Raw genomic sequence first — 15,226 nt, 5'->3', positions numbered from 1 at the left:
TCTATCTCCGTCTTCATATGCCCATCCTCTTATAAGGACACCAGCCCTATTGGCTTAGGGGCCACTCTATTTTACGTATGACCTTATCTTAACTAATTACATCTGCAATGACCCTATTTCCAAATAAGGTCACATTCTGAGGCACTGGGAGCAGGGAAGACTTCAACATATCTCTTTTGGGGGACCAGGTCAATCCATTGCATCCCCTAGATAAAGTGTTCCCACAGAACACTTAACCATAAGTCATCCAACAATCAGCTAAGGCTTGAGGAAATGTTTGTATGTCCACCTGGGTTTTTTGGGGTATTGTTTTTTTGTTGTTGTTTTTGTTTTTGTTTTGTTTTACTTTTCTAGTATTTTTTTTAATCTCAGATGACAAGTTTTTAATGACCTGCACCTTGAAAAATGAAAAACAACAACAACAAAAACAGCAACATAGCAAACCTGCCTGACTGTCTTGTCGGGAAAAATCGCTCTGAAAAGGCACTCATGTATTTAAGTAAATGAAACTCATTTCATTTCTAAATGTTGATCTACTGCATTTTAAATGAATTCTAATGAAATTTGGTGAGTTGAAATGAGAGAGATAATGCCTCCAGAAAGGGTTTTAATTTTTGTGGTCATGGTGACTTAAGTTTGTAGTTTTCGGTAAATCAATAGGTCATTCAATCTTACTGAGTTGAAAATAGCCTCTGTTAGCATTTAACTGCATCCATGGTTTTCATTTGTATTCACATAAACTTTTCTTCGAATCAGTTCTTGTTATAAAAAAATAGATTTTTATTTCTTCATCCAAAAGAGACAGGAGGAATTCATGGAACGTGTCATTTCCGTGTGATTTTGAGTAAGATACTTCACATTGGTTTTCCTAAATAACAATAGCAAGCAGTAACTATCATGATAGTAATAAGTCGTAGTCACGTAAGTATCCCGTCTCTGCCTCTCATGGAAAGAGTGCATCAAAGACTCTATGCGGATGGTATAGAAAGTCCTCACACATTTAAAATCTAGATGCCTGCCAGTCTGAAAAATAACCCAAGGAAAGTTACAGAAAGTTTGGAATAGTAATGAAGAAAATATTATTTTTAGAGCCAACACCCCACAGTATAGCCCATGTGAAATGAATATGAAGTGGTTTTTCCAAGGTATTGCTTGATCGCTTTCTCATCATTCTTACATATTTCTGTAAGAAGATGTGCTAAAAATAGCCCCTCTAAAGTATCCCTAAGCTTCTTGAAAAGATATGCGTTTGTTTCGCACATGATTAAGAAACACAGTGTCCAAGATGCCCTTAGGAAATACTAGCTGAGTCCGGGCACAGTGGCTCACACCTGTAATCCTAGCACTTTGGGAGGCAGAGGTGGGTGGATCACTTGAGGCCAGGAGTTCAAGACCAACCTGGCCAACATGGTGAAACCATCTCTCTACTAAAAATACAAAAATTAGCCAGACGTGGTAGTGGGGGCCTGTAATCCCAGCTACTCTGGAGGCTGAGGCAGGAGAATCACTTGAACCTGGGAGGCAGAGGTTGCACTGAGCCAAGATCGTGCCACTGTACTCCAGCCTGGGTGACAGAGCGAGATTCTGTCTCAAAAAAAAAAGAAAGAAAGAAAGAAAGAAAAAGAAAAAAGTAATACTAGTTGAAGTTACTTCATGCAGATACATCATAGCGTAAGAGTTACTTTCTTTTCTCTGTGTTAGGTAGTTTTGCTAATATGTCTTATCTAAATGAATCCAAATCTCCCCTGAGTTTATTTTTAGTTCCTAAATTCAAGCATTTATGATTTTGTTTATTTTCTTTTGTTTGAGACAGAGTCTCACTCTGTCACCCAGGCTAGAGTACAGTGGTGCAATCTTAGCTCACTGCAACCTTCAAGCGATTCTCCTCCCTCAGCCTCCAAGTAGCTGGGATTACAGGCATGCATCACCACACCCGGCTAATTTTTGTATTTTTAGTAGAGACGGGGTTTCATCATGTTGGCCAGGCTGGTCTCAAACTCCCGACCTCAGGTGATCTGCCCACCTCAGCCTCCCAAAATGCTGGGATTACAAGTGTGAGCCACCATCTCCAGCCTAAAGCATTTATGAAATAGCTAAACAGTAATGAAGAGGCCATTTGGTTGGGGTGACAGTGAGGACATTCAGGTTTTTGAACCAGACATTTTCTGAAGTGGCTGAACATCAACGTTGAAGGGCCAATGACTATGTTCATTTGAAGGTGGCACTTCATTTTTCTCTAATAAGTTTACAGAAAGCAAATCAAGTTTTACGCTGTTTCTATAATGGACCCAACATCATGTCAGAGCATTTGAGGGCAAACATATATAATGGCTCGTTCCCAAACATCTCGAGAGCCATTCAGACCACATGGCAGGCAAAAGGCACTGGTGGCCACATCCTCCAATTCTCTACCTGCACAGTAGGGCTCAGGGCAGTTCTGGGTAAAGAAACTTCCACCACACACCTGGCTTGTGCCCCAGCTCCCCGCTGATGTCCTCCACCCCTCCCATCTGGGGCTGACATTTCTTTCACCAAGGTGGGTAGACAAGGGCCACGGAGCAATGTGTGTCCATAGGAAAGCTTTCATCACAGGGGCTGATTTTGCAAGGGATGAGGTGACAGTAGCAGGTGAGACTGCTGAGGGTTAAGGAGAGTAAGGGACTCAAACACCCCACCCATCCCATCCCTGCACCCCTCCAAGAAGCCTGGTCTCATATGCAGCATCCATTAAACTTATTTGACTAGAGACACCCCCCACCACCGCCTTTACCAAAGAAGAACTTGCAGTAAAATCACTTTGGCACAGTCACTTGGACCAATGGTGAGATAGGGTGGCCTCGTCCCACCCCCGCACCCCTCCAAGAAGCCTGGACTGACAGAGGCCCCAGCACACACCCTGAAGAACTAGAGAAAGGACTTCTGAAGATAGGACAAAGTGAAGGATGAAACAGACATGCCCAGGGAGGGACCCCAGGCAGTCAAGACGCAGGCTGGTAAACAACACGTCCACCCCTCAGTCCTGGCCAGGCGATCCCCATGGCCACTGCTGTTGAAATGATGATTAATTTGGAGCCAAAGTTGACGCAGCTGGGGTCCAGGTGGGCCAGGAGGTGAGCAAAATGAGGGCACCCTACTGTGTGCTCCAGAACCCTGCTTTTTTAAAGAAAAACATAGCTCAGAGAAAACAGAGGGAGACAACATAAAAGTTTATATGGACACACACAGAAAAACCCCCTCCCTTCAGAGCTGGTGATCCTGAAACCAGAGCCAGTTGGAAGGGCCTATAGCAGCTCTAGCATTTCACAATTGCCTTTCACAGATTTTCAAAATTCTTTACCGCTCTGTCGTTTTCTGATACTCTCTCTGCTGGGGATGAAGTCGACCAAAACTCTAAGGTTTAATGACTGCCCTATTGGATTTCGAACTTGCATGGGGCCTGTAGCCTCTTTGTTTTGGTCAATTTCTCTCATTTGGAATAGGGGTATTTACCTAATGCCTGTACCCCCATTCTATCTAGGAAGTAACTAATTTGCTTTTGATGTTGTAGATTCATAGGCAGAAGGGACTTGCCTTGTCTCAAACGAGACTTTGGACTTGGACTTTTGAGTTAATGCTGGAATGAGTTAAGTCCTTGGGGGACTGTTGGAAGGACATGATTGTGTTTTGAAATGTGAGGACATGAGATTTGAGAGGGGCCAGGGCAGAATGATATGGTTTGTCTGTGTCCCCATCCAAATCTCATCTTGAATTGTAGTTCCCATAATCCCCACGTGTCGTGGGGAGGGACCCAGTGGGAGGTAATTGAATCATGTCGGTGGTTTCCACCATGCTATTCTCATGATAGTGAGTAAGTTCTCATGAGATCTGATGGTTTTATAAGGGGCCTCACCCTCGGCTCAGCCCTCATTCTTCTCCTTCCTGCTGCCATGTAAAGAGGATGTGTTTGCTTCACCTTCTGCCAGGATTGTAAGTTTCCTGAGGCCTCCCCAGTCCTGCGGAACTGTGAGTCAATTAAACCTCTTTCCTTTATAAATTACCCGTCTCGGGCAGTTCTTCATAGCAGCATGAGAACAAACTAATACAGCAACCCACTCTATCTCACCATTGCCAAGTCCAAGTTATTGTGCCAAAGTGATTTCATTGCAAATTGTTCTTTGGTAAAGGGGGTGCAGGGGGGTGTCTCTAGTCAAATAAGTTTAGCGGATGCTGCCCATGAGACATTTCCTGGGAGAGTCACGATGCACATTGACACGTTTCCAGCTATGAGAAGTCCTACAGTCACGCAGGTTTTCTTAAACATATTTGACATTTGTGTCCTCCACACAAGACATCCTGCAAATGCAGCATTCCAAGATGCTGTCGTTGGGAAACTCAGCCCTAAATCCTGCTCTCAGGTGCAGCTAAGCCACATACTCCCCACCCAGGATTGTACTTTTGGGGTTTTGTGAACCCAAATGCAGGACCCAGTACTGATCCTCTAACACATCTTGTTAGATTCTGCCTTCCCACCACTACTCAGCCTGTCGAGGGCTTTCTAGAGCTTGATGCTTGGAACCCTATTTGTTTTGGATCCGTATCTCTCTAGCAAATCTTCCCACATGCACACACGTGGCTGCAGGAAAATGGTAGCCCACAGGTGAACACCAGTTCAGCCCTGCATGGGCTGCTCCCCCTGGGAGGCCAGGCTTGGGCTAGTTCCTTCCTATACAAACAGCCCTGCAGGGCAGGGCGCTTCCGGAGCATCACGGAGGAATTTTATGTGGCTTCCAGGGAGATGCGTTCAGTTAAAGTTGTTTTTCCCTTGAAAGGCCCCAAAGTGAAAAGTAGTTGCGGGGAAGTTGAATTATTACCTAATGCCAGTAGCAGCTGCTGGTAAGGAAGAAGGAAAGCAGGTTGGGGAGCTTGTGTCTGGGAGTTGGGGGCTCATTAACACTCACTTCTTAAATTAGCAAATCCTTATAGCACACGTTTAAAAATAGCAACCTAATGGTTTCTAAAATTAGCCATCATTGCTCTCCATAAATATTTAGACCTCCAATAAACCTCTGGTCCACTTGCCTAGCCTAATGGGCTTGGCTTTTATGCCACATTCTTTAGGGTCTGTATACTTAATTATTGACCTTGACAGTGAGAGCTGCAAGAAGCCCCATTATGCTTGGACCAGGGACACCCTGTGTGGCCGTCAGCCTTGAGGCAGCCTCAAAGCAGGGCAGGAAGAGATCTCAGAGGCCATTCGGAGATCTGGGCACCTGGAGGAGCCTCTGGTCCTGGTTTCCTTGGGACTGTCTTAGTTTCAGCCCTGAAGGTCCCTGTCCTGGGCAACCCCTCAGTCCCTAGCAAAGCAGGGCAGTTGGTTGCCCTGGCTGCCCAAACCACTGCAAAAGGGGCAAGGCCATTGTTCTGAGATCTCTGTGGGAAGGAGAATCTGTTGCTCACACCATCCCTCAGCCCTTACACTAACTTCAGTCCTATGTCATTGAAGCAGGTAGTGTTTCTTAAAGGGGAAATGACAGCAAGGAGAACACTAGCCAGGCCAGGCACAGAACTTTCATCCTCTGCTCCTCTCGTTTCCCCATGTGTAAAAAGGGGATGGTAACAGTCACTGCCACATTAGGTTGTTGGGAATAAACTAGGAAATGTGTCAGTGTTCAAACCATGCTCAGGCTCAGTCAGCTGGTGCCATCGGTGTGCTCAGGGTGCAGGGTGGGTCCGCTGGCACCCCCTCTGGCTGTGCCTATCAGGGTGGCCACCTTGGCCTTGTTGCCAGCACCTCCCCCAGGGCAGTGAGCATAGGACAGCCGGCCCCGGTCCTTCTCTGGCCAGCAGGGACTGTGATGGCGTCCCTAGCCCCTGGACAGAGTGAGTGCTTGCTGAGTGGAGGGAAGAGAGGCTTTGTGCAAAGCCAGCATCGTGCATAGTGCGTGTGGCAAATTCTGGGCTGTGAACAAATAGTCACCCAAAGCAGCAGCAGAAAAACAGCAGCAGAAAAATACTCGGTGTATCAGTCCGTTCTCGCAATGCAACCTGAGTCAAAGAACTACCTGAGACTGGTTAATTTATAAAGAAAAGAGGTTTCATTGGCTCTCACAAGCTGTACAGGAAGCGTGGCTGGGGAGGCCTTAGGAAACTTACAATCACGGCAGAAGGCAAAGGGGAAGCAGGCATGACACGGCCGGAGAAGGAGGAAGAGAGAGAGGGGAGCAGGCAGGTGCTGCACACTTTTAAACAACCAGATCTCGTGAGAACTCACTCACTATCACAAGAAGAGCAAGGGGGAGGTCCACCCCCGTGATTCATTTGCTTCCCACCAGGCCCTTCCTCCAACACTGGGGACTGCCATTCGACATGAGATTTGGGTGGGGACACAAATCCAAACCCTATCACCTGGACACACCTTCAGTCCACTCCGTGTCCTGTGAGGCACCACGTTGTTTTGTTATTATTTATTTTTGTTTGTTCATTCACCAGGACAGAACCAATTACCTCCTACAATGCCAAAGTATTTAAACCCAGTATATGTTTTTAAATTAGCAAGATGATGGTTTAGACTCCCAGTGGAAGCATCAGTTATTAATTATTTACTTACCAAGTGATTTACATCTAGTAGAGGATTTATTTATTGATTTATTTTATTTCATTTTATTTTATTTATTTTTCAAGACAGAGTCTTGCTCTGTTGCCCAGGCTGGAGTGCAATGGCATGATCCAGTCTCACTGAAACCTCCGCCTCCCGGTTCAAGCGATTCTCCTGCCTCAGCCTCCTGAGTAGCTGGGATGACAGGTGCACACAACCATCGATCAGCTAATTTTTGTATTTTTAGTAGAGGCAGGTTTTCACCATGTTGGCCAGGCTGGTCTCAAACTCCTGACCTTAAGCGATCCACCCGCCTTAGCCTCCCAAAGTGCTGGGATTACAGGCGTGAGCCGCCGAGCCCCGATGGGGATTTCTTGACAATGTCCCAGGGTCTCATGGGCAACACCCTGCAGACCCGCTTTTCCTGCCTGCAGCCTGCACTGCTTAACTGAGGCTCAGCTCTCTGCAGAAGAAGAAGCAGGTTTTGCCTACTGATTCTTTGCTGGTTTGGGACGCTGAAGTGACTTGTCATCAGCAGAGACGCTTCCCTTTTCTCCCTTCAGAACCAAAAAAGAAGCTGAGCCCCAGGTCGCCCACTGGATGGGCGCAGCCAGGGCTGGGACCTCCTAATGCTCGCTGCTAATGCCCGGTCTCGCTGATTACCTTGCCCCAGGCAGGAGAGAAAAGCTAGTGGTCCACTCAAGACTTCCACTCCCTTCCTTTTCTGCCTTCATCCCTTCCTTTTTTTCCTTCCTTTCTCTGTGCTCCCCCTTCCTTGCTTTCTCCTTCCTCCCTCCCTCCTCTTCTTCCCTCTCTCCTTCCTTCCTTCTATATTTCCTAGTGTTTTTTTTTGTTTGTTTGCTTGTTTTGTTTTTTTGAGACGGAGTCTTACTCTGTCGCCCAGGATGAAGTGCAGTGGCGCGATCTCGGCTCACTGCAACCTCAGCCTTCCTGGTTCAAGCGATTCTCCTGCCTCAGCCTCCCGAGTAGCTGGGATTACGGGATGCCTGGCTAATTTTTGTATTTTAGTAGAGACGGGGTTTCACCATGTTGGCCAGGCTGGTCTTGAACTCCTGAACTCAGGTGATCCACCTGCCTCGGCCTCCCAAAGTGCTGGGATTACAGGCGTGAACCACCGTGCCTGGCCCTTAGTGTCTTCTATATGCCTGGCCCTATGTTGATGCTGGGTCCTTGTCCCGAAAAAGTATCCTGGATTTTGGTATGCTAAGAATTCTTTAAAAGCCTTTGAAAGGGCTCAGCATTCCCATATCCCTGAAAGCCAGGTAGCAGCCTCTGTTTTATAATAAAGTCACCCTCGGACAGCCCTCACCAGTCACAAGCAGGCATAGTGAATGGGGAGCGTGTTGGGAGCGGAGGTCCGTGCTGGAGAGGAGGGATGCTGGCCCGTGCTCCTGCCGCAGCTCCTGAGGAGCTGTGACCTTGGAAATTCCTGCCCCGGCATCAGCTGACAATCTCTAGGTCACATCCAGCTCTGGAATTCTGAAGGCAGCATCTGACTTGCCGAGGGGACTAAACCTCTCCCTGCCCGAGCACGTGGGTGGGGAAGTTGCCTACTTCAGAAAACCCCTCATCCTGACAACCGCCCAGGGCTATATTCTAAGTCACAGCTGGCACACACCTTAGCACTGTCAGTCCAAGGCATGAATAATACATGTTGATTTAACAACTGTTATTCCTGGTTACTGATGAACCAGGAAGGACAGGAGATGCCAATGCAGCAGCAGTGCTCAAGGGTGGACATAAGCAGAACTTCCGGCAGGTGGCTGGAACCCTTCCCTGAGGCCAGCGTCCGGCTGTCATCCCTTCAGATCCCACCTTCCCAGGAAAGCAGTTACTCTCCCACCCAGTGAAGTCTCAGAAACTATTTTTGAGAACATGCTAATTGCCACACCAACCACCTATGAAAAACTTGGTTTCGGTGACAGAAATAAGTGCATGAGATAATCTTTAACCCATTTCCTTTCTCTCCCTGCTCCCGCCTCCCTTGGCTTCATTAGGGCTCCGGCTGGCACCTGAGGAGCGGCGTGACCCCGAGGGCCCAGGGAGCTGCCCGGCTGGCCTAGGCAGGCAGCCGCACCATGGCCAGCACGGCCGTGCAGCTTCTGGGCTTCCTGCTCAGCTTCCTGGGCATGGTGGGCACGTTGATCACCACCATCCTGCCGCACTGGCGGAGGACAGCGCACGTGGGCACCAACATCCTCACGGCCGTGTCCTACCTGAAAGGGCTCTGGATGGAGTGTGTGTGGCACAGCACAGGCATCTACCAGTGCCAGATCTACCGATCCCTGCTGGCGCTGCCCCAAGACCTCCAGGCTGCCCGCGCCCTCATGGTCATCTCCTGCCTGCTCTCGGGCATAGCCTGCGCCTGCGCCGTCATCGGGATGAAGTGCACGCGCTGCGCCAAGGGCACACCCGCCAAGACCACCTTTGCCATCCTCGGCGGCACCCTCTTCATCCTGGCCGGCCTCCTGTGCATGGTGGCCGTCTCCTGGACCACCAACGACGTGGTGCAGAACTTCTACAACCCGCTGCTGCCCAGCGGCATGAAGTTTGAGATTGGCCAGGCCCTGTACCTGGGCTTCATCTCCTCGTCCCTCTCGCTCATTGGTGGCACCCTGCTTTGCCTGTCCTGCCAGGACGAGGCACCCTACAGGCCCTACCAGGCCCCGCCCAGGGCCACCACGACCACTGCAAACACCGCACCTGCCTACCAGCCACCAGCTGCCTACAAAGACAATCGGGCCCCCTCAGTGACCTCGGCCACGCACAGCGGGTACAGGCTGAACGACTACGTGTGAGTCCCCACAGCCTGCTTCTCCCCTGGGCTGCTGTGGGCTGGGTCCCCGGCGGGACTGTCAATGGAGGCAGGGGTTCCAGCACAAAGTTTACTTCTGGGCAATTTTTGTATCCAAGGAAATAATGTGAATGCGAGGAAATGTCTTTAGAGCACAGGGACAGAGGGGGAAATAAGAGGAGGAGAAAGCTCTCTATACCAAAGACTGAAAAAAAAAATCCTGTCTGTTTTTGTATTTATTATATATATTTATGTGGGTGATTTGATAACAAGTTTAATATAAAGTGACTTGGGAGTTTGGTCAGTGGGGTTGGTTTGTGATCCAGGAATAAACCTTGCGGATGTGGCTGTTTATGAAATGGACAGTCTCTGTTTCTGCTTCCAGACTGTTACTCTGTCTCCTAAGGCGCTGGTAACCACAGTCAGAGCCCACTGGGGCTCAGGGTCGCAGGACCATGCAGCCGTGCTGACCACAGCACCGTGGAGTCCTGACTCCGATGCGGGGTGGGGACGTTGGAGGAAGACGGGGCTGATCTCCATCTGTAAGACGCTTGAAAACACTAGGAGCTGCATCCCGGCTTGAACTCAGAGGCAGGGCAGAAGGGAAGGGGCTTCCTCGGAAAAAGACAGTTGCCAGAAGTCACAAAATAAGGACGCTGTTTTTTTCTTCCTGTGAGCAATAGGTCCCCACTGGTAAAAAAACAAGAGTCAGAAGGAAACGGGGCCGGGCATGGTGGCTCATGCCTGTAATCCCAGCACTTTGGGAGGCTGAGGCGGGCGGATCACCTGAGGTCACAGTTTGAGAGCAGCCTGACCAACATGCTGAAACCTCATCTCTTATAAAAATACAAAAATTAGCTGGGTGCGGTTGTGGGCACCTGTAATCCCAGCTACTCAGGAGGCTGAAACAGGAGAATCACTTGAACTCAGAAGGCAGAGGTTGCAGTGAGCCGAGATTGAACCACTGCATTCCAGCCTGGGCGACAGAGTGAGACTCTGTCTCAAAAAAAAAAAAAAAGGAAAAATGGAGTGAAACATGGTTGGTGTCTTAGCTTTCTAGGCTTTGGCAAAAAGCCCAGTTAGGAGCACCACTTGCCCCCAAGGGCCCCACTGGGACTTCACTGGCTTCTTTTCTGGGGTGGCCAGTCCTGGATGCAATGAGAACAGGTCCTAGCATCTGTGGCTGTTCCTGCAGCTGCGAAAAATGTCTGGGAAGCTGGGGGAGGCCTGATGGCTCTGAGAACACTGCTGATCCCTGCTGGCCATGATCTAAGTCACATGGTGACACACACCCCCCAGCAGCCCAGGGAGCCTGGGCCTGCTCTGACATCCACATGGGCTCATGTCCTTGGCCCACCTCGGACAGCACCTGCTCATGCCTCTGTCCCCAACCTGAGGCTCTGAATGTGGGAGGAAACAGCTCACTCCATGGAAGGGCTTGGCCTGAGACCTACACACAGAGGGGCTGTCACGTGAAGTCCCTCTATTCTCTGCAGTCTGGGAGTCAGGGTTCCAGCAGTCACTGCATGCAGGGAAGAGCCGCAGTAGCCAGCTGGCCAGGCTCGCTTGAATGGCCTGCTGAGACCCTGGTATCAGTGCCAGGGAGGCTCTAGTACAGTGGTCAAGAGGCTTGAGAACTGGTGTCGAAAGGGCAGGCCAAGCAGCCCACAGCCCAGAGCCCCGGAATCAACAAGGCCTGAGGCCTGCTAACGCTCTCCTGACTTGGTGCCTCCTCCTGGCCTGAGTGGGTCAGGCACCTGCTTCTCCACTGGCCAAGGCTCACACCGGTAACATGTGCCCACCAGGCAGCCCTCTTCTGATTGCTTTAGGCTCTGCCATTTATACCTAATAAACTATGTTGTGATAAAATCCCTCAGGGGCCTCCTAGCAATATTGAAGAGTGGAGGATTGAAGGAACAGCTGTACACATACTTACATATTTCTTTTTTGTTTGTTTGTTTGAGATGGAGTCTTGCTCTGTGTGCCCAGGCTGGAGTGCAGTGGCACAGTCTCCACTCACTGCAACCTCTACCTCCTGGGTTCAAGCGATTCTCCTGACTCAGGCTCCCAAGTAGCTGGGACTACAGGTGCACGCCACCACACCCGGCTAATTTTTGCATTTTTAGTAGAGATGGGGTTTCACTATGTTGGCCAGGCTGGTCTTGAACTCCTGACCTCAAATGATCCTCCTGCCTCAGCCTCCCAAAGTGCTGGGATTACCAGCATGAGCCACTGCTTCTGGCTTCTTGTTTGTTTTGTATGAACCTCTAGACCCCAGGCAACAGATGACTCTTCTGGAAGGAGTGGGTGCAACACATCTTGGCCTTTATCTGACCACAGAGAAGCTGAGGAGGCTGGGATCTGCCATGCTATTTAGGCCAGGCATTGAGATCTGAGAGGTCCTCATTTATTTAGGATAAAACAAGCAGTTGTCATCTATTCTTTAAGTTATAAAAAAGGAATAAATCTGAATCCATAAAAAGGAGGAAAAAAATTTTCTACCAACAGAATGATACTGTCTGTCTTTGCTTGATGGGCACCATCCAGAAAGCATTTTATGAAGTTATTCTAGTTAACAGACCTGTTACAAATGAAAGAAAAAATAACTTTGTTTTGAGATGGAGTCTCGCTCTGTCACCCAGGCTGGAGTGCAGTGGCGCAATCTCGACTCACTGCAACATCCACATCCCAGGTTCAAGGGATCCTCCCAGTTCAGCCTCCTGAGTAGCTGAGATTACAGGCACCTGCCACCATGCCTGCCTAATTTTTGTATTTTTAGTAGAGACGGGATTTCACCATGTTGGCCAGGCTGGTCTTGAACACCTGGCCTCAAGTGATCCACCTACCTTGGCCTCCCAAAGTGCTGGGATTACAAGAGCAAGCCAACGCACCCTGCCATGAAAAAATAACTTTTTCAAACTCTTTCTCTGAATTCTGTCACTACTGAAATAACATATGGCTCGCTTTCTTCCTCAGGTGAAAGTAATAGTGATTACTATTTATTGATCACTTACTATGTATCAGGCATACTTTTCATCTATTAATTTGATCCAATGTGAGATAAATAGTATTATTTTTTTTCTGTTTTGTTTTGGTTTTTTGAGATAGGATCTTGCTCTGTCACCCAAGCTGGAGTTCAGTGACTCAATCACAGCTCACTGCAGTCCAGCCTCCTGGGCTCAACCAATCCTCCCATCTCAGCCTCCTGAGTAGCTGGGACTACAGGTGTCCACCACCACACAGCTGACTAAATTTTTTTTTTTTTTTTTTTTAAGAGACAGGGTCTCACTGTTTTGCCCAGGCTGATCTCCAACTCCCGGGCTGGCTCAAGCAATCCTCCTGCCTCAGCCTCCCAAAGTGCTGGGATTATAAGGGTGAGCCACCGCACTAGCTAAATATTATTCTTAACCCCATTTTACAAAGGAGAAAACTAAAGCACAAAGAGATTAAGTTACTTGCCCAGGGTCACAGAGCAAGTAAGAAAAAGACCCAGGATTTGAACCCAGACAGGTAGGCAAGGGGTGAATACATTAACTCAAGAAGACACATGACCTATAATCTAAGCACATTTATGTCCAGACTATATCCAAATAACTCAGGGAATTGCTTCATGGCCATATTCGGCTCTTTGCAGAACCATCACTCTACAGGGCTTGTGTTAACTGGGTCCTAGCTGGATTGGATGAAAGGTGATGTCAGACCCAGAGGGCCAAGATGGAATCCCATGGGAAACAGGAACTGGCACACAGGAAGGGACACGCGTGGCTCCGTCATCCAAAAGCTGGCCAGCTCAGACAGGAAGTTGACCTTCGTAAGACCTTGGTTCCCACACTCAGGAAACAGGTGTAAGAATGCAGCACCTGGCTCTCCCTTCTCTCTGGCTCTCGCCATTCCTCGGGTCCTCTGAGCCCCTCTTTGCCACATTACAACCTTGGCCATGAGAGATGCCTGTATCCACCCAAATCTTTGGGACTAGGATTTCTTAACCAAGGTTGTTTCAACAAAAGCATGATCTCCTTGTGGAAGTACAATGCACAACCCCACATTTCAGACTGAAAAAGGAACATGAGTCTGACTCATGTGTTCCAGAAAACTGTTGTTATAGGCATAAATTTACAGCATGACTCTTATGGATTAAGAATGCTGCATTTCTTTATTTCTCTTAATCAAATCAAATTTGGCTCCAATCCAGAGAGATCTAAAGTCATTATGGGGAAAAAATGTAAATTAAAGTCAGCCATGTTTTCTGGTCCCCTACCCCTGCATTGAGGGGGTCTCAGGGGCCCAGCACTAAGGGAGGCCCTAGACTTAGAAGGGAAGGGGGCGTCGGTCTTCAGTCCTTGGGGTCGCCCTGGTTTCCCACTGATTGCCAGGCCTGATGCCTTCACAGCCTAGGAGCTCCCAGTGCTCCTCATACCTCCCTTTAAATAGGCACTGGAATCTTCCACCCTGTAGGACCCTAGAGAAAAAGTAACCTTTTTCCCAGGCAGTTTCTGGGAAGCTGTTTCCCGAGATGGAGCCGCCCCCTCCTATACTGAAAGCACCTGTTTCCCCTCTTGGACAACACACCCTAATTGATTTCATAGATTTAGCCTCTTGAAATCAAAGCCTTCTGAAATGTCCCAGAAATCCCACTTTCATGTCAACCACTGCGGTCCTGAATGGAAATAATTTGAAAACTACAGCACAATTTGAAATGTGTATAATAACAATCAATTTATTGATAGTAAGAAATCAAAGACAGCACCAGAATTTGCACCCAAAAATCCTGGCCCCAAAGCCCCACATTTGGCCACAACGCCATCCTGCCTCCCTGCCTTGGTCCCCCTGTCCCCCACTGCCAGGCAGAAGGAGAAGCATGGATGGTGACAATCCAGGCAGGTAGACTCCATGTGGGTCTGGACTAGGCGGTGGCAGTGGAGAGGTGGGAAGAGATGGGGATGGGTCTGCAGGTAGAGCTGATAGGGTTTCCTGATGGCCAGGCATGCAGAGTGAAAAAAAAAAAAGATGCTTTAAAGATGATGCCAAGGCTTGGGACTGGATCGACTGGAAGAAGAGCATTACCATTTTCTGAAATTAAGAAGATTCCAGAAAGAATGGGTGTTGATGAGGTAGATCAAGTTTGCTCTCATCTATTTGGTGTGAGCTACCTTGAGTGGAGAAGTTGAGTGGGTACTTAGATATATAAGTTCAGGGACAGCCCTGAGCTGGAGAGATTGGCCCAGAGATGGAATTTAAACCATGCAACTAGAAAAGATCACACTGGAGGTGAATATAGATGAGGAACCCGAGAGACCGGGCCGAGCCCTAGAGAGAGTGGCGTATAGAAGCTAGCAGAGGCTGGGGGATTCAGCACAGGAGCCAGGTGAGAAATGCCCAGGGGGCAAGGGGAACCAAAAGAGGAGCGTCCTGGAAGCCAAGGGCAGAGCCCGTTTCAAGGAGGAGGGAGCAATCAACAGCACAGATTTACCACCTTCGATCTTCACAGCCACACAAGAAGTCAGCACCATCCTCACCCTCCTTCCACAGACGGGAAAACTGGGGCTGAGAAAAGTAAAGCATTTGCTCACGTGACTTGAAGATGCCCGTAAAGTCCCTTCACCATGAGAAAACTTTCATGCAACTGGAACTTCAAATTTCCTACTGCACGTAAGCGACGGTTTAGTAAAATAGTTCCTAAGAGCTACATGGAGACCCAATAGGACTTCATGTGTGTGGGTCTTGGGGGAGGAGAGGGCAGCAGAACAGGAGGTGGAGCTGAGCACCTTTCCTGAGGCCAGCAAGCACCTGGGCCCATCGTTCATTCTCAGAGTGAGCCTTCCCCTATTTGTCCTAGA

At 48.7% G+C, this 15,226-nt stretch overlaps 1 protein-coding gene and 1 long non-coding RNA gene across 11 annotated transcripts in view, besides 2 other annotated features; one reads left to right on the top strand and one right to left on the bottom strand.

Annotated features, from left to right (window-relative positions):
• The window catches only part of CLDN14 (claudin 14), a 115,949-nt gene extending 106,201 nt beyond the window's left edge, over window positions 1-9,748 (top strand). For 6 of the 7 annotated variants that reach the window (NM_001146077.2, NM_001146078.3, NM_001146079.2 and 3 more), the window contains one exon: window positions 8,593-9,748. In NM_001146077.2, coding sequence (NP_001139549.1) covers window positions 8,674-9,393 — 720 coding nt within the window. In that variant the 5' untranslated portion in view covers window positions 8,593-8,673 and the 3' untranslated portion in view covers window positions 9,394-9,748. Of the gene's footprint in view, window positions 1-3,901; window positions 4,003-8,592 lie in introns of those variants that run through there. The other variant, NM_012130.4, reaches the window with a different exon arrangement.
• Window positions 1-15,226, bottom strand: part of CLDN14-AS1 (CLDN14 antisense RNA 1) — a 68,202-nt gene that overhangs the window by 28,158 nt on the left and 24,818 nt on the right. Inside the window, exon 3 of one of the 4 annotated variants that reach the window (NR_183532.1) lies at window positions 9,608-10,079. The exons of the other annotated variants lie outside the window; for them this stretch is intronic. This is a non-coding gene — a long non-coding RNA (CLDN14 antisense RNA 1). Of the gene's footprint in view, window positions 1-9,607; window positions 10,080-15,226 lie in introns of those variants that run through there. 4 annotated transcript variants of the gene reach the window in all.
• Window positions 5,276-5,873: an enhancer, noted in NCBI's record as "H3K27ac-H3K4me1 hESC enhancer chr21:37836794-37837391 (GRCh37/hg19 assembly coordinates)". NCBI's record gives its function as "activates a minimal SCP1, AML or CMV promoter by ChIP-STARR-seq in primed H9 embryonic stem cells {active_cell/tissue: H9 hESC(primed)}" and the evidence as "EXISTENCE:reporter gene assay evidence [ECO:0000049][PMID:30033119]".
• Window positions 6,120-6,169: an enhancer, noted in NCBI's record as "active region_18434". NCBI's record gives its function as "activates an Ori minimal core promoter by ATAC-STARR-seq in GM12878 lymphoblastoid cells {active_cell/tissue: GM12878}" and the evidence as "EXISTENCE:reporter gene assay evidence [ECO:0000049][PMID:35858748]".

Source organism: Homo sapiens, chromosome 21 (genome assembly GCF_000001405.40).
Source record: "Homo sapiens chromosome 21, GRCh38.p14 Primary Assembly".
Lineage (NCBI taxonomy): Eukaryota > Metazoa > Chordata > Mammalia > Primates > Hominidae > Homo > Homo sapiens.
Note: the sequence above shows the minus strand (reverse complement) of the source record. Positions and strands in the feature narration are given on the sequence as shown.